The sequence below is a fragment of the Homo sapiens genome, chromosome 10, assembly GCF_000001405.40.
Source record: "Homo sapiens chromosome 10, GRCh38.p14 Primary Assembly".
NCBI lineage: Eukaryota > Metazoa > Chordata > Mammalia > Primates > Hominidae > Homo > Homo sapiens.
Window position 1 is genome coordinate 104333270 of NC_000010.11, and position 17855 is coordinate 104351124.

A 17855-nucleotide genomic window follows, 5' to 3' on the forward strand; every position below is an offset into this window, starting at 1 on the left:
CACCTCCCTCTTCTATTCACCCTGCCGCTAACTGGGCCCATCCTCTCCCCAGCCTCTGAGAAACACACCTGTGAACGTTACACCTTCTATGTCCCTTCCCTTCAACATGCGTCTCACACTTGAGGCCGATTTTTCACCTCCCCGTCCGCCTTAGGGTGGAGGCGTTGCCCTGAGCAACAGTGATGTCACCTGCAGGGTGCTTCCGTTTCACTGATGTCACGGGGTGGGCCTAACAGATAGAGGGGGGATGTGCTCTCTGTGGGGAAACGTCACAGGTCCTAAACTGTTGAGGAGGGGTCTACAGGCCTCTGGGGCACTCCCAAATGACCCCTTTCCTCGCCCAGAAGAGCTCCTTACCCTTCCTTCCTCTCTGGATGCCTGTTAGAGCTCAGGCCTCAAATCTGACTTTCCCTCTGCCAGAGTCAGCCAAAAGATCAGGATGAGCAGCTCCAAACAAACTGCTGGAAAGACCACTGAGGATAGATGTCCTCCCCGTCTAGGACAGTCTAGGTCCCTACAGCCTTGTCCTTTGTCCAGACCTCAGAGGAGGGAGCAGTGACCTGATGGGGAAGTTGGGGCCCAAGTCGGCAGAGAATGCAGACCTCCAACCGACCTCTGCTGTCCTGAAGAGCGCACACTGGCCAGGTTTCCAGTCTGCGCCAGGCACGGTGCTCAGAGCCTTCTGTGCATCGTCTGGGTCAACCCTCCCCACAGCCCTGAGGGTCATCCCCATTTTACTGATGATGTTACCGAGACTTGAAGAATCAAGGCACCTGCCCAACTACTGAGAACGCCCAACCACCGAGTGGTGGAGCCAGGACTCAACTCAAGTCTGCCCCACTTCAAAGCCCGTGCAGTCACACCGCCTTGGCTCTGGGCACCTGGAGATGTGGCTCATTAAAGATGAGCCATGAAGGGCCTGGACAGAGACCAGAAAGAGCCCTTTAAATCTAAAGAGGCCAGCTGAGCAGGGCAGGCTGCCTGAGGCAGCCGAAGCAGGCACTGCTTTAGGAATGCTTCACCCCCTGGCCTACGCAGGGGATGCAACAACTGGCCAGCCTTGGCCCAGCCTCCATGCTGATTGGGGACCACGTGTCTTTGCTCTATGCTTGGCTTTCTATTGATCCATCCAGGTTACCGGATCATCCTCTTGATTTGCATATAGCACTTACTCTCATGGCCTGGCCCTACAACTCTGAGATTGTACAGTAGTTATCGAATTTACGCAAATGCAAATCTATGTCTCTGGGAGCTAATGCTTGCAAAGCACTAAACAAATAGGTAAATAAAATAAAAAATTACTACATTATGAGAGAGGAAAGGGAGAAATGCTACCAGGATTTCTCAGGGAAATACTGCCCTTGAGGCACTGGCCAAGGAGATGCCCATAGCCAGGCTGACCTGAGTATCCAGTCTACCTGGCAGCTATCTTTCTGCTGGTGAGAGGGCCGCAGAGGTAGACAAAGCCCTGCACTATTGGACATCACTGTCCCCCACCCTCACCCCATGCTGCTCCTGCCTGGTTCTGACTCCAGCTTTGATAAGCGCAGTCCACCTTCTGGTCTTTGGTTTCCCATATGGCTTGTCTAGGACGCAGGGAAGAGACGACATTCAGTCTGTGTGATGTTTGCGAAGTCTCCTTGCAAATTAATAAACCAGCATTCTGATTCGTACACCCTCTTCTGGGAGCTTTCTCAGGGTGAATCAGTAGCTTGAGTCCAAACCACTCTGAAAATTATGGAAATTGGGTTTCTGAGCGGGCACAGCTAAGAGCCATGCCCTGGGACAGGTGACGTGATCCAGGTAAACACCACCCTCTGAGCAATCTGCTGGGCACCAGCTGGCCCCTCCCAGGAGGCATCTTGACTTCCTCACTGATGAGAAGCCTATTTTGTTTAAAGTGCCTATCGACAGTACATAGTGAAATGCTCGGTTCCAGCTAATTAAGCGCTCAGCTGTACGGTGTGGAAACTAAGAGATCATGTATATGGAACTGTGAAATGGAGTTTCAGGAAGGGTTCTTGGACGAACTTGAGAAGGGCATTTGTGGGTGAATGGGACTTCAACAAGGAAGCAAGAGACCACAGATGGGGATTAGGGGTTTGGAAGGTCAGGACAGTTGTCTCACCTCCTTCCACTCGCTCTCTGCCTAGGTCAGGACCCTGCGTGCAGCCACCGCCGTTTCCCTCTGAGCCACACCTGGGGGCACTTACTCATCACCCTCATGCCAGGCCCCAAACTGGATCTGCCACCTCACACCGCCCAGAGATTAAGGAAAGTCACTTGATTCTTGGGCCAGGCTCCCCATCAGCCATCAAGGCCCGGCTTGCCTCTTTTCTTTCCTCCTCTGCCTCCTGCCAGATGAATTTCCCCTCCTTCCTCCACCTGGACTGAGAATGGGTATTTCCTCCTTTGACAGAGAAAGAAAAAGGCAACTGTTCTTCCCCCTTTCCCACGAGGGTTCCCAATTAAACTAGCTTTTTAAGCTTAAGTTGCTTCTTGGTCTATGAATGCCCAGTGATTAAGACTCACCTTCCAGGCTCTGGAACACTTAACATCCCTGTGCCTCAGTTTCCTCATCTGTAAAATGGAGTTAACAATACCTAACTCATACGGCTACTGTGAGGATTAAATGAGTTAATACAGGCTAAGTACTTTTGGGGAAAAAAAAAAAAAGCCTGGCGAATGTTAAGCCCTCAATAGTGGTTGTTTATCAGGGCTGCTGTGTGAATGGTGGACCAGGCAGTGTACTGCTTAAGGCACCTGGCTGAGGGGTGAGGATAAATCCAGCTCACATGCCACTTATCCAGCTATATGGCTTGGCTATGTCCACTCAAGTAAGGCCAGTATTTCTAAGAGGCATCAAGCCCCATCCTCTTGCCAAGACAGAGCACCTTATTCTAATTCATGCGAAGGACTGAATAGGCTAGCAGCAGCCCTGGAGGTTATCATGAACAGTTCTCAGCATCCTCCTGGCTCTGTACCCCTCCCCAGCAAGACTGGATGAGAGAAGGGTCCAGGATGGCCTGGTGTCATCCATAATAAAGTCCTGCTTCTCAGCTCCCAGAACACTTGGAGCACCCACCCCTTCCAAGCAGATTCTCCATTAAAGCCCCACAGGCTGCCGTGCCACCTCAACCCTACTGGGGCAGACTCTCAACTCGAAACATGGAACCTGAGTCTTGGACTCTGAAAGCACCTTCTCCTGCCCAGTTATTTTTTTTTGGGGGGGGGGGGGCAGCGGGGCATTGGGGGGTAGGTTAAAGACAGGGTCTGAACTCTGTCACCCGGATGGAGTGCAGTGGCACGATCCTAGCTCCAACCAAGTGATCCCAACCAAGTGATCCCAGCTCTAAGCCTGGAACTCCTGGGTTCAAGCAATCCTCCCACCTCAGCCTCCCAAAGCTCTGGGAAGACAGGCAGCCACCCAGCCCAGACTCTTTCCTAACTGTTGATGGCTACCTGTCTCTGCTGATAGCTGTGAAAGGAAAATACAACCTTAGGACCCCAAGCTCAGGATGCCAAAGGGAAAAGTTAAGCTTGGGAACTCAGTCATGCAAAAAACAAAACCGAAAACAAAACTGCATTCCTTTTGTTGCCAAACAGATAGCTATAATTTCACATGCTTACTTTATCTTACGTAAAATGTAGATTTACTGAGCATGAGAAGAATGCACCCAGGGAGAGCAGAGAGTCAGTATAACTACTTCATGGTTACCCACAAGTGGAGAAAATCCGAAGGCAGAATGGCCCAGAGCAGCCGCAACATACAGGGAATTAGCAAACAATGAAAGCCACTTAGGCACGAGGGCTGGAGGGAGGACTCAAAAACACAGCCTATTCTGTTTTCGTAAGGAGGAAAGACAGTAATCCACTTTTCTGATACTCTATTTTCAGGGCTCACCTGGGCCTAAAACTGCACCAACCACAGATGAACTTTAGCTGGCAGTCAGATAGACTCGGTTTGTAAAAGGCAAGAGCACTGGGTCATATCCAAAAAAAGAACAAGAAAATAGACCGCGACCCCGATTTAGATCCAAAAGACCAGAGTCCAGATTGCGACCAATATCTGGTACTCTACTGTTTGTGAAATGAGACCAGTATCTGGTACTCTACTAGTTGTGAAAGGGTGCTTTTCTCATACCAGCAGAGGGGCAAAAGGCAAAATGAGGCCCCTGCCTGGTTCCGTAAAATATTTTACCTTCCTGGTCGGTGGCTTTTTTTTTCTTTTTCTTTTTCTTTTTTTAAGAGAAAGCGTTTTGGATGGGGAGTCCCGCCCCGGGAGTCTTCACCAGGCGGCCAGAATGGCAAAGTCACAGGGATGGGGTTGAGGGTGGGGTTAGGGGTGAAGGGGCAGAGAGTTATTTGCAGCCCAAGAGCAAGTCTGCACAGCGTGAGGTCTGGCCCACTAATAGTCCCGAAAGAGGAAGCGGCGGGGATTTTATCCGGCCTGAAGCAGCCCCATAACTTCACTACCATGAACCGAGAAAAAAAAACTTCACGCCTATTCCTCCCTTACAGGAAGGGAGGGAAGGGGAAGGGGAAAAGGGGGCAGCAAATGAGCAGGGCGAACCGGCTTTTCTTTCTTCGGTAGCGCTCTGCTCAGATGTGAGAAGTAACGGGTCACCTGGCCACTAGGAACAAAAATGTGGTCCCGCTCTGGGCTCCGAGGCTGCGCGCGCCTCGAGGAGGAGCTGCCCGCAGCCCTGGCTGGAGCGAGCGCCCGGGACGCATCCCCCGACGCGGCGGGAACAGGATGCGGGACCGCGAGGAGACAATACGCCCGCCTGGGCACGCGCGCTTTAAGGGAAGGGGGTCTCCAAAGTCAGCCCCCACCCGGGAGGAGCAGGCGCCCGCGCTCCCCACACCCTCCTGCGCCCCCTCTGTCGGCAGCCATCTCCGACACAGCTCCTCCGAGCTCGCGCTCTCCATCGCGCCCTTCTTCCTTCAGCACACTAGGCTGCCCTGGGACTTACGATTGGCTTGGGTCCCCGGTCCCGGTCCCCGCCGCGGGAGGACGGCTCCAGCACAGGCTTTGCGCGCAGGTCGAGGGCCGAGGCGCCGCTGCTTGCAGGCGGCTGCGGTGGAGCTTGCGGCCCGGCACTTAGAGGGGCGCGGGCGGCGATGCCCCCGCTGGCTCCCACCTTCTGGCCTGCAGCGGCCGGCTCTACTGAACTTCAGAGTTACTCATTTCCTGGATGTCACAAAAACTTTTTCCTCCTTATAAGAACAAAACACCCGCCTCTACCCGCGGCCCCGGAAGCTCCTTAAGGAGGACCGTGTGGGTTTCGGTGGTTGGGCCCAGGATCCGCCGGGAAGACCTTCCCAGTGAGCCCCCAGAAACTTCCCCGGCACGGCAGAACTGGAGAGTGACTGGGAGAGACGGAATCAGGCCAGTGGAGTAAACTGGAGCGAGTGGACAGGGGCGCGGGGAGGACGCCCTTAAAAGTCGTCCTAAGCCGCGGAGCGGAAGGGGTTAAGTCCTTACCAGTCGGGGAGAGTTTTCTGCGGCGCGTTTTACAAGTGGCGGAATTCCTGGGGCCACCTATTTAGTCTCTTGGAGGAAAATATAACTCTAGACAAAACGCCAGCCTTTTTCTCTTTTGCAGCTTGAAAGGATTAAAATAGCTTACTACCGTTTTTTTTTTTTTTTGAGAAGGAGTTTCGCTCTTGTTGCCCAGGCTGGAGTGCAATGGTGGCGCTATCTCGGCTCACCGCAACCTCCGCCTCCCGGGTTCGAGCGATTCTCCTGCCTCAGCCTCCCGAGTAGCTGGGATTACAGGCATGTGCCACCACGCCCGGCTAATTTTGTATTTTTAGTAGAGAAGGTGTTTCTCCATGTTGGTCAGGCTGGTCTCGAACTCCCTTCTCGGCCTTCCGAAGCGCCTGGGATTACAGGCGTGAGCCACCGCGCCCGACTTTTATGATAATCAAATGCATGGTTGCTTTTCTCCGGGATTAACCGGGCACAAAGGAGAACAGTGACCGGATACTGTACGGGACAGGCGCGGTAGTTTCTGGTTACTGTTGTGACGGTAGATCAAGTGTTACTACCCCTATGTTAGAAACGAGAGAACTGAGGCCTGGAGGAGCAGCAGCAGCGTTCTGGTCGAGCTTAATAGTTTATGAAATCCATAACTTCTATTGTCTTCCCTTTGACCTGCCCAAATCCTACCATCAGTACAAAAGGCAGAGCAGGGTTTGAATGAATTCTCCATTAAGCGGCTTTGGGGGCACCAAATGCCAGTGAAGGCACATTGGGGAAATTGGAACACAGTGTCCAAAATGATCACCATTGCTACTGCTATTTGGTCTTAGATCACCTTTTTTTCGTCTTTTCCTTTAACACTCGCCTGGAAGACTTTTTGGCTGAGTCTGAAAGATAAACAGGCAATGAGAAAATGTTCTAAAAATAGACTCCCTGGCCCTTGGCCCAGGGTACTTTTGTTTTCAAGTTTCTACTGCTGCTCAAATTCTTTCCTTACGTAAGAGGTTATGGCAGAATTTTGGGGGCCAGTATGTGTGTTGGAGGTGGTGGGGGCGATCTGGGGAAACGGTCTTGAAAGAGCTGTATTTCCAAAATGTCTAGAAGTTGGTCCGGTGGGTTACTCACACCCTCCGCAAAGCAGGTGGGGGAAATTTCTGTGAAGTAAGAGCGCTGGGCTGAGCTTTGTCATCCTTGGGCTAAGAGTTCAGCGTTGTGCTGGAATGCCAAGGTTAGTGCTTGAATGCCCTCTGGGATTGTCATCCCGTCTGCAAAGTTGTTTCAGCAATTTCTAACCAGCCATGTATATTTATATAAGGAATATTTATTATATTTGTTTTGCTTTTAACCTGATGATTTCACCTTCTGTGTTCTGATTGGTTCCTGTCTGTTCTAAGGTCCACCCTTCTACCTGGCTTGTAAGTCGTTCATGAACTGGCCTCTGCTTATCTCACCAGCCTCATATCTCACTCTGTGTCCCACACAAAACTCCTTGCAGTTCTTGGAACCTGTGCTTCCCAGAACGTGATATGCTCTTTGATATGCTGTTTGCATGATATGCTTTTTCTCTCCCCTTGGATATTCATATGTACTCTACTTTCTGCCTGCCACAGCCACCCCACCTCCTCCTCCAAACTGTCACCCCAGTGCACATGCATGTTATTTTGCCCGACTAATTGTATGCTCAGTCTTCCTGTCTCAGAACAGGCAGTTACTCCTTCAGGAAGTCTTCCTGGAACCCTCATGTCTGGATTGGACACCCCTCCTGTCGTTTCTACAGAACACTGTGCTAACTCGAGAAATGTTTTTTAAAAGATAGGAAAGTACAAAGATTCAAGTTATGGGAACTTGAGGAGTCAAGAAGTCAGGGAACTCCTGCTTCGAACAGTGAAAGGCTGAATAAAATATATCAACAACGGAAGGGAAGAAAGGGGGTCTCCAGGTGTGAGATAGGTCAAGGGAACTCAAAAGCATGACATGAATATAAGCCCAAATGACTAAGGACCAGGGGTGAGTACCCACTCAGGGATTGGGGTTAGTATCTATTCAGGCCTTGAGTTCTATAAAGACAGGGATCTGGACTTGAGATCTCTGCCTAAGGCTGGAACCCTGGAAAGGCTGCCCTTTAGTAAGAGGAGGATAGAAAAAAGCCCTCTCCCCATTGGCTCAGGGTCGCGGGAAGGAAACTTGTGGTTTATCCCGGCCCTGGATGAATTTTAAAATGTCTTCTATAGAAATGAAAACCCCTAGCCTGCCTATACTATGCATAGGTGTGAGCTCCCAATTTATACTACCCACGTGCTGAGGGAATCCTAATGTCAAGAAAAAACACAAAAAACCTGTTTCAAAGTGGTGAATCCCCTTGGCCCTGTCAGAAGCAAACGTAAAATTCGGTTGTTTATCCTGGTCCCTAGCAGAATAAACAACTCCCATTGAAGTTACAATAAGAAATTAAAATGTTTCATGATAAGAAATTAAAATATTCTTTATATTATTTTAATTTCTTAAAATTAAGAATTATTAATAATCATTAAGCTTATAATAAAAAATTAAAAACCAGACTAGGAAATGAACCACATGAGGGTGTGAACTGGTAAATGTAATAAACAGGAAAATTAGCCCCTTAAGTATCTGAGACAATAGAACAATTTGAAAAAGAGTATCAAATAGTTATGGTCAAAATACAGAGATAAAATGATAGGACATAGGACTATGAAAAAAGAACAGGTAAATTTGAAAAAGTACAGCTATAATATGTAGAAATAAAAAGTTTAGTCATTTACATATAAAAAACCTCAATGATTGAAATTCTTTTTTATTTAGGCAGTTGGTAATATATCAGTCAAAAATCTAATAAAAATAGCTCATTGAAAAGGGGAAAGAAAAGTAATATATTATTGTTTATAAATATATAAATTATTTCAGAAATTTAAAATAATATATTAACAAATAGAATTCCAGCAGCACACCAAAGAATATTACATCATTAATAGATCAAAAGAGAAAAATGGAAAGATCATCACCATATATGCTGAAAAGCCATCAGATAAAATTTGGCATCGACATATAAACAAACCCTCTGTAACATGGTAAAAACAAAGGGTAAAGTTCAGCCCCCAAACCAGTGTTATGCTTAATGGGGAAATACTAGAAATCTTCTAAAGTCAGTGCAAGATATGAATGTCCTCCTTCACCCCTATTCTTTTTAAAAATTATAAATTAGGAATATGTTTGGCTGCAAGTAACGGAATACCAGACTGTAATTTTTATAGTGTCTAAGACTATAAAAGGCTTAAACAAATAAGGATTTGTTTTTCTCACATCAGAAGCTTGTATATAGGTGGCTATTTTGGGTCAGTGCCTTGATAGTTTCAGGGCTGATCAAAGGATATGTGCATTTACTATTTTGGTATATATTACAAAATTGCCCTCCAAAGAGATCTCACCAATTTGAACTATTTCCCATAGTATGATGATTGCCTTTTTCTCTACATTGTTGCCAACATTGGCTATTTTCTATTATAACTTTAATTTAGTTTGCTTCTTTTATAGGTGAAAAAAACCCCTAATCTCAATGTTTTGATTTGCAGTTTTTAAATTATGAGTGAGGCTGAACAGAACATTGTTATTGGCCACCTTTATGTGTTTATGTGTGAAGACTCTGTTACAACATCCCCCAGTTTTCTATTGGCTTGTTTATGTGTATACATGTGTGTGTGAAAGTAGATGGAATGTTCTTCATGATCATTTAAGTGCTAGATGAGGCTTCACATTCCATAGTGAAAGGTGACTTGTCAGCTGGGTGCTGTGGCTCCTGTCCGTAATCCCAGCACTTTGGGAGGCCAAGGTGGGCAGATCACATGAGTTCAGTTTTAGACCAACCTGGCCAATATGGCGAAGCCCCGTCTATACAAAAAAAAAAAAAAAAAAAAATACAAAAATTAGCCAGGTGTGGTGGTGCGTGCCTGTAATTCCAGCTACTCTGGAGGCTGAGGCACGAGAATCACTTGAACCTGGGAGGTGGAGGTTGCAGCGACCCGAGATCGTGCCACTGCATTCCAGCCTGGGTGAGGGAGTGAGACCCTGTATCAAAAAAAAAAAAAAAAAAAAAAAAGTGACTTGTGACAAAGTCTGAACCAACTGCAGGGGAGCTTCACACCACATCTCACGGTTAGGAGCACTGGAAATTTTTTAAAGATTAAATACACAGGGACAGATTTCCTGTTCACCCCATCTGTGGTTATTCCAGTATATGGAATAAAATGCATGACAATGGGAGAGACAGGAAGCCTATACTAGTCATTAAGCATCTGATGGAGGGGAAAAAAGGGCACTTCCCTTGATTTGGTCAATTTCCCACTACCCTGATTTCAACTTCACATGGAATTTCACAAGATAATAGCAAGTTAGTTTAGAGGATGTTTCACAGAACAGGCTGCTTTGCTGAGACCTCAGAGGTGTCAGTTGAACAAGACGAATGATTTGCATTTGGCTATTTCATTCCTCAAGGTCAGTGCTGGTCACGTCCCTCCTCTGGGAATGTCGGAGCCCACAGGGCCTTTAGAGATTATTTACTGACAAAAATTAAGTCCAGAGAAGTTAGGTCACATACTCAAGGTCACATTGCTGGTTAGTGACTGAATAATAATAGCTAAAACTTGTGCCATCTGCTAGGTATTACTCAAGCATTTTATACCTACCAACTCATTTAATCCTCATATCAACTCACGTGGTAGGAATCATTAGATTCTACAGAACCTACGTTTTTCAAAGATTTTTGAAAATACATTTTATTTCACAACCCAGTATACTCACACATACAAGTGCATTATAATTGAAAGACAGTTTCCTTAAAAACAATTGTTATGTTTACTGAATGTGATACAAACTGTTATGTTCCCTTTTCTTTTTACTCTTCCTATGTTAACCTCTTTTGAAAAAAATGCAGGCCACAACTTATTAAATGAGTCAAGATCCAAAGTTTGAAGAAAATGCTTATTTATTTATTTAATTTGAGCTAGAGTCTCACTTTGTTGCTCAGGCGGGAGTGACGGTCGGCTTCACTGCAGCCTCAACCTCCCAGGGTCAATCAATTCTCCTGCCTCAGCCCTCTGAGTAGCTGGGACTACAAGTGTGTGCCACCATACCTGGCTAATTTTCCTATTTTTTGCAGAGATAGGGTCTCAGTATGTTGCCCAGGCTGGTCTCAGACTCCTGGGCTCAAGTGATCCTCCTTCCTCGGCCTCCCAAAGTGCTGGGATTACAGGAGTGGGTCACTATGCTTGGCTAGAAAATATTTCTTTAAACTACTCTTCTAACTCACATCTCTGTTTTGAAAACTGTTATTGGTTTATGTATGTTAATTTTCCATCTACATATGCCACTTGGCTTGGGAAAGAACAGTCAGATGATTGCCATCCAACTTATTTCTGGTCAGTAGATATTCATTGCTCTCCTTGTAGTTAATGTCTAAAGATGGTACCCTTGCCTTTGACACAGATCATTATGCTGTAACCTTAGGAATACCTTAATTCACTTATTCATTCATCCATCCATTCATTCAACAAATATTTCAGCACCTAATCTATGCCAGGCATTGTCTAAATCAGGAGTTGGCAAACTATGGCTGTCAGGCCCAATCCAGAGTGCCACCTGCTTCTATAAATACAATTATATTGGCTCAGCCATGGCCATTCATTTATGTGTGGTCTATGGCTGCTCTGGGGCTCTAACAGCACAGTTGAGTAGCTGCCACAGAGACCATGTGGCCCGTGAAGCCCAAAATATTTCTTTTTTTCCTACCTGTCCTCAGGATACTTCTATTTTTTTTCTACCAGAAAATATTTCTTAATGTGGTCTTTTATAGAAAAAGTTTGCAAACCTTGGTGCTAGATTCTAAAATGCAATGGTATCTTAGACTGGTCTCTGCTGTCCTAGAGGTTTAAATTGTCCTGCTTAATTTAAAAAGGTTTGAGGCTTTTTGCCTCCCTTGCATTGCCTCAAAAAGCACCTGTTCCCAGTAAATGCTCAGCAGGCATTTGCTTCTACTAAAATCATCCAGTAGGTCTTGCAGCAGGTATTGGCAAGAAAGCAACATACCTAACAGGCAGAAAAGAGGCATGGTGGCTCACGCCTGTAATCCCAGCACTTTGGGAGGCCAAGGTGGGTGGATCACCTGAGGTCAGGAGTTTAAGACCAACCTGGTTAACACAGTCAAACCCTGTCTCTACTAAAAATACAAAAATTAGCCGGGCATGGTGGCACATGCCTATAGCCCAGCTACTCGGGAGGCTGAGGCAGGAGAATGCCTTGAACCCTCAAGGAGGAGGTTACAGTGATCCGAGATTGTGCCATTGCACTCCAGCCTGGGCGACAGAGTGAGACTCTGTCTCAAAAAAAAACAAAAACAAAAAGCTTATTCCTTTAATATAGCAGATTTCATTTTATAGATGCCTATCCTTGTTGCCTATGAGAGTTCAGTAGTCAACTTTTTTTGAGTACTGATTGTGTGTCCCACCTTGTGGGTAAGAAAAAAAAGACATAGTTCTTTGGTATTTACATTGAGGATAAGAAAAAAATGAGATAAGTGCATTTTATTGTAATCCTTACTACCTGTACTTCTGTTTGGGATCTTGGTGTGTACTTGGAAGTAATTTTAACCACTGTAGAATCTTAAATGTTCGTGTACTGATACCTTTCACCTTCCTTTAGTCACTAATCACTCCCAAGAGTAATTGCTGTGTGTGTGAGTTTATAAGTTAATTGTATCTTGCATTCATTCATCAAACTTTTTACTTCTAGTGTCTCCTATGGGGCAGCACCATAGATGTATTAAAGAAAAGACTGGTCCTCCCAGTCTGGTGGGGAGACATAGAAGTGAACACACAATGATAATGCAGTGAATTGACAGAAGATGCTCAGTCTTTCCAGCAGCACAGAGGAGAGGTAATTAACTGGGTAAGATTTTTTGGATGAGGCAACACTGAGCTGCCACTTGAAAGAGCTAACTGGACAAATAAGGAGTCATTGGATTTTCCAGAAAAGGGATCAGCATTTGTAAAGTCTAGAGGTGTTTGAAAATAGAGACTTTCAGGGGATAGTAGATATAAAAGCATTGGCCCATCATCAAAGGTATTTTGTGCTTTGGTTTTTAAAATTTTTAAAATATATTCACTGTGTTCATCTGCTTGTATTGCTATAAAGGAATATCTGAGACTGGGTAATTTATAAAAGAGAGAGGTTTGTTTTGGCTCATGGTTCTGCAGGCTGTGCAGGAAACATGGTTCTAGCAACTGCTTCTGGTGAGGGCCTCAGGAAGCTTATAGCCATGGTGGAAGGCGAAGTGTGAGCTGGTGTGTCACGTGGCAAGAGAGGAAGCAAGAGTGAGAGAAAGGATGTGCCTGACTCCTTTAAACAAACGGATCTCATGTGAACTGTTAGAGTGAGAACTCACTCATTACCTCTGCACCAAGCCATTCATGAGGGATCTACCCCCCATGACCCGAACACCTGAGGTAGAAACATTGGAAGTCATGTATCAACATGAGATTTGGAGGGGTCAAAGCATCCACACCATATCATTCACTTATTTACTTTTGTTTGTTTGTTTTTGAGACAGGGTCTTGCTCTGTCACCTAGGCTGGAGTGCAGTGACATAATCATAGCTCACTGTAACCTCAAACTCCTGGGCTCCAGTGATCCTCCCTCCTCAGCCTCCTGAGTAACTAGGACTACAGGTGTGCAACACCACGCCCAGCTCATTAAAAAAATTTTTTTTTGTTTAGATACCAGGTCTTGTTATATTGTTCAGGCTACTTATTTACCCACTCATTTATTTATTTATTATTAGTGGGAATAGGTTGTATGGAGCCATTTAGTCTTTTTTTTTTTTTTTTTTTTGAGACCAAGTCTCACTCTGTCGCCCAGGCTGGAGTGCAGTGGTGCGATCTTGGCTCACTGCAACCTCCGCCTCCTGGGTTCAAGTGATTCTCCTGCCTCAGCCTCCCAAGTAGCTGGGATTACAGGGGCCCACCACCACATCTGGCTAATTTTTGTATTTGTAGTAGAGACAGGATTTCACCATGTTGGCCACGCTGGTCTCAAACTCCTGACCTCAAGTGATCTCCCTGCCTCAGCCTCCCAAAGTGCTGGTATTACAGGAGTGAGCCATCGCGCTTGACCCACTTAAGCTTTTTAACCAATCTGGTCCACCGATTGACTTGTGCACGTCCTTACCAGTCCTGAGTAGGACATCAAACTGCAACCTTGGTGTCTTGGGCAAGAAGCACCAACTGAATGATCTAGCCTAACCAGTCATACCCAAAAGTAATCTGTGTGGGAGAAGAGAGCAGCTGCTTTTAAGCCAATAAAATTCAAGGCAGGTAAGACGACTGGGTAGTTATGACACTGCTGTCTCCTTCTCCTGGTAAAAATGCTTACCCGCTGTGGCTGCTCCCTCAGTGCTTCTACCTGGTGCCTGACCTTTCAGTCTTCCTAATAAATCTGCCTGAGCTTCGGTGCCTCCTCAGGTGTCACGAGGGGAGTTTGTCTGGAGACCCTTTGGGAGCTGATGTCAAATGCTCAACAAATGTTCTGTTAAGTTAGTGCTGCAGTAGTCTGGAAAAGGAGAAGATTAAAGGAATAAAATATGCCCCCAACAGTTTTGGAGAACACTAGCCAGTGGGGACTCTGCTCTGTCATCTAAGGTGACCATATGGTTGGCTGATAAATGATAACAATTTTCTGTAACACGTGGGCTTTTCATCTTCCCAACAGTCTGGAGGAAAAATATTAGATATGATGACAGGAGCAGTTTTTACCATGTCGTTAAGGGCCCCAAATGTAGTTTTTAGATTCCATAGACACTAAATCCAGCAATGCCACAAGAATGCCTGTGCAAACAGGATCTGTGTTGATGCAGGCTTTAAAATTTTTTTTTTATTTCTGATATATACAAAGAAAACTCACTTCATCTAGCTTAAACAAATAAGGTTATTTTGTTAGGAGGATACAAAGTATCTAGCAGAATCCAAGAGAGCAGGTGTTGCTGGGTCTCTCAAGGGACCTGCCACCAGGTTCCCACAGGGCATCGGCCACCAAGGAAGAAGCTCCCTCTCCCATCTTTCGCTTCCTGTTTTTGGTCTGTGGATTCCCCTCATTTATTTGCTTTATTCTTCCCTCCATACAGCCTGCCTTTCTCTGCCTCTCCTGGGCTTCACATGCTCAGTTCCAGACCTGAGCAATGATTGACTTGCTCTTGGTCCCTGTTATAAATTCCAAGGGAAAATAATAGAACTGGCTTCATGTGGGTCAGGTCTCCACCTTGACCCATCAGCTGTGGCCCTGGGGAGGTATGTAGGGTGGCCTAGAGCATCATGGCTTCAGAGAGGGACGTAATTCTGGGTGGGAGTTAATAATCTCAGAGGAGATTGTGGATGATACAGACACCCCCAAAATAGCCTCTGGGACCTCTCTGATCTATGACAGAGGTCGATTTCTGTCAGGGCACAATTGCTTTGCATTACAGGCTAGGAATTTACATGTAGGCCTGCAAGTCAGTGTTTCTGCTTTTTTGGAGGTTTACTTCATATCTTCACTGGGTACTATTGAAGAGGTGAACACTGGGTATAAATACTGTTCTTATTACTGTGTTACAGCACGCACCTGAGAAGTTCTAAGAGGCGATTCTATCCAGGTTTAAATAAGGAGCTTTGCAGAGGTAGTATATCTCATGATCATGTATTTGAGATATCTGGCAGAAAAAATGGGTGTGTTCTTGACTGTCCCTAGTCCTTGAGTTTGGAGGCACTTCTCTTCTATCCTTCCAAGGCTCTCTGCTATTCACCCATGCCCTCTTGTCAACTTTAGTGTCCACAAGTACCTGATAGGGACCTCACCCTGCCTAAAGCAGGATTTTTGGATTCTTGCCTTGGTTTCTGCCCAGTGCTGTTCCCCATACTTGAGATTCTTTTAACTTCCTTCCGTGTCTCTAACTCATACATATCATTTAAGGTCAAGTTCAAGAGCCATGTCTACCATGTACCTTTCTTTAAGATGTCATGGTTCACTGGGCTTCCTTACTTTAGAACTCATTCAGTAGTGATTCACTGAACAGTTACTTATACAGCAGAGTGCTGGCTGGTTATGTTAGTTCGCTAGGGCTGTTATAACAAAATACCACAGACTGGGTGGCTTAGAAAACAAAAATTGAGGCCAGGTGTGGTGGCTCACACCTGTAATCCCAGCATTTTGGGAGGCCACGGCAGAAGGATCACTTGAGGTCAGGAGTTTGAGACCAGCCTGGCTAACACGTTGAAACTCTGTCTCTAACAAAAATATAAAAAATTAGCTGGGTGTGGTGGTGTGCACCTGTAGTCCCAGCTACTCTGGAGGCTGAGGCAGGAGAATCGCTTGAACCTGGGAGGCGGAGGTTGCAGTGAGCCGAGATTGTGCCACTGCACTCCAGCCTGGGCAACAGAGTGAGATTCCGTCTCAAACGCCTCCACACCAAAACAAAACAAAACAAAACAAAACAAACAAAAAAATTGATTTCCTCACAGTTATGGAGGTTAGAAGTCCAAGATCAAAGTGTCAGCAGGTTTGAATTCTTCTGAAGCCCCTCTCTTTGTTGTGCAGATAGTCTCCTTTTCACTGTCATTCCTCTCTGTGCACACATCACATACCTCGTGTCTCTTTGTGTGACCAATTTTCCTCTTCTTGTAAGGATACCAGTCTGATCGGCCTTATTTTAACTTAATCACCTCTTTAAAGGCTCTATCTCCAAATACCATCACATTCTGAAGTAGGGGGCATCTGGACATTAACTTATGAATTTTGGAGGGACACAATTCAGCCCCTAACACCAGTGGAGACAGGGGTGAAGAAGACGTGCATCATCTTAGAGCTCCTGTAGTTTGACGGTGTGGTAGGGAACACAGGTATTAAGCAACTATTTACATGACTAGGCCATTAGTTACCACTGTGGGATGATGCAAGAAGTAGAATACACAATGCTGGAAAAGGTAGTCTGGGGAAGTGAGACTGAAAGTAATGTGAAGAAGTGAGATCTGAAAGAAGATTGGATGGGAGCCAGCCAGCTGAAGAGAGAAAGAGAGAGAGTCAAGTATTCCAGACAGGAAGATCAGCATTTGTGAATTCCAGGCAGTGGGAAAGAGCATGGCTACCCAGGGAATTGAAAGAACCAGTGTAACAAGGAGTGAGTGATGGGAGCTGGCACCAGAAAGTCGAAAGGGCCAGATTACACAGGACCTTATTTACTGACATCCTCATTTCAGTGCTTACTATATCCTGTCTCGGACTGTTGTCAGAAAATCTTTTAAGGGGAGTGTTGGCGTGCACAATTTGCTTCTCCTGATGCTCCTCAAGGGAGAAGATCGTGTCTTCAACTCCTTTTGTATTCTCTCTCCACAGTATGCAACATAGGGCTGGACATATAGTAGGTGCTCAAGAAATAAATTAAGTGGATATAATGAGAAATGAGATGAATAGAAGCACTCATTTGTCTAAATTAGGGGCTGACGCGATCTTGTTGGGTGTGTTTCTCCTAGAGGCTCTGAAAGGTGAGGACTTTGATACTATAATGCCACCTAGTGATTCTTGTTATTACAACAACACAGGGGAGCAGGGTGGTGACTAGTCTTCTGTAATCCAGAAAATTGGAAATCAAACATTTTGTTTCATCAGCATAAATTGATATGTCCGACCACCCATCCTTTCATCCATTCATCCATCTGTGTTGATGCCCCCTGCATCTCTTTCCTATGAGCTGAACATGTCACGCGCCTTTCTACCTCCTTGTGGTTCTTTGATTGCTCAGTCATATTTGGGTCTTTTTGTCCTCCTATAAGTAAGGTCTCAGATACCAGTATCTAGATTCTCTGAGCTCCCATTGTGCTTTCTGTTAAAATGGCATATACTAAATGATACCATCTTATTGCATTAGAATTAACTGTAGATGTTCCCTTCTGTCTTTCCCCTAATACAGATTGTGAATGCAAAGGGCAGTGACTCTGCCATAGTCACCTTGGTGCTTCCTGTGGGCAGCCTTGTGCCTACCATGCAGTACGTTCCTTAAAAAATTGTTTACTGGATTGAACTGCTGTCACCTATGCAGGGCACCTACTTATGAAAGCTCTTTTAGGAGATCCCTTGGACATGGGAAGACACACAGCCCTGCACTTGACATCAGTGCAACGTATGGGTGACCAGGGCCCTCTAGGTCTTTATTTTTGTTATATACTTTCAGAAATGTTATGGAGTTTCTCTGGATCATGGCAATCCTACAAACCGATGGTCCCAATGTGTAATCAGGTTTCCTGTGAACACACAAAGCAGCCTGAGCTGGGTTGCC

General features: G+C 45.7%; 2 protein-coding genes across 4 annotated transcripts in view, besides 6 other annotated features; one reads left to right on the plus strand and one right to left on the minus strand.

Annotated features, from left to right (window-relative positions):
- ITPRIP (inositol 1,4,5-trisphosphate receptor interacting protein) overlaps positions 1-5196 on the minus strand; it is a 28766-nt gene extending 23570 nt beyond the window's left edge. The window contains exons 1-2 of one of the 2 annotated variants that reach the window (NM_033397.4): positions 358-636; positions 69-229 (exon numbers count right to left, since the gene is read on the minus strand). The gene's annotated coding sequence lies outside the window, so the exon portion shown is untranslated. Of the gene's footprint in view, positions 1-68; positions 230-357; positions 637-4976 lie in introns of those variants that run through there. The other variant, NM_001272013.2, reaches the window with a different exon arrangement.
- Positions 3874-4073: an enhancer, noted in NCBI's record as "active region_3984". NCBI's record gives its function as "activates an Ori minimal core promoter by ATAC-STARR-seq in GM12878 lymphoblastoid cells {active_cell/tissue: GM12878}" and the evidence as "EXISTENCE:reporter gene assay evidence [ECO:0000049][PMID:35858748]".
- A 54-nt stretch (positions 5197-5250) lies between the features above and the next one.
- Positions 5251-17855, plus strand: part of CFAP58 (cilia and flagella associated protein 58) — a 116583-nt gene continuing 103978 nt past the window's right edge. The window contains exons 1-2 of one of the 2 annotated variants that reach the window (NM_001400226.1): positions 5251-5392; positions 12287-12430. The gene's annotated coding sequence lies outside the window, so the exon portion shown is untranslated. The remainder of the gene's footprint in view (positions 5393-12286; positions 12431-17855) is intronic. The other variant, NM_001400227.1, reaches the window with a different exon arrangement.
- Positions 6339-7758: a transcriptional cis regulatory region, noted in NCBI's record as "candidate enhancer chr10.4033 targeted for multiplex CRISPR interference". NCBI's record gives its function as "positively regulates ITPRIP gene expression with high confidence in K562 cells {active_cell/tissue: K562}" and the evidence as "EXISTENCE:mutant phenotype evidence [ECO:0000015][PMID:30612741]".
- Positions 6822-7116: an enhancer, noted in NCBI's record as "tiled region #11867; K562 Activating DNase matched - State 1:Tss". NCBI's record gives its function as "activates a minimal TATA promoter and a strong SV40 promoter by Sharpr-MPRA in K562 cells {active_cell/tissue: K562}" and the evidence as "EXISTENCE:reporter gene assay evidence [ECO:0000049][PMID:27701403]".
- Positions 12881-12940: a silencer, noted in NCBI's record as "silent region_2799". NCBI's record gives its function as "represses an Ori minimal core promoter by ATAC-STARR-seq in GM12878 lymphoblastoid cells {active_cell/tissue: GM12878}" and the evidence as "EXISTENCE:reporter gene assay evidence [ECO:0000049][PMID:35858748]".
- Positions 16214-17138: an enhancer, noted in NCBI's record as "NANOG-H3K27ac hESC enhancer chr10:106109241-106110165 (GRCh37/hg19 assembly coordinates)". NCBI's record gives its function as "activates a minimal SCP1, AML or CMV promoter by ChIP-STARR-seq in naive H9 embryonic stem cells {active_cell/tissue: H9 hESC(naive)}" and the evidence as "EXISTENCE:reporter gene assay evidence [ECO:0000049][PMID:30033119]".
- Positions 16609-16728: an enhancer, noted in NCBI's record as "active region_3985". NCBI's record gives its function as "activates an Ori minimal core promoter by ATAC-STARR-seq in GM12878 lymphoblastoid cells {active_cell/tissue: GM12878}" and the evidence as "EXISTENCE:reporter gene assay evidence [ECO:0000049][PMID:35858748]".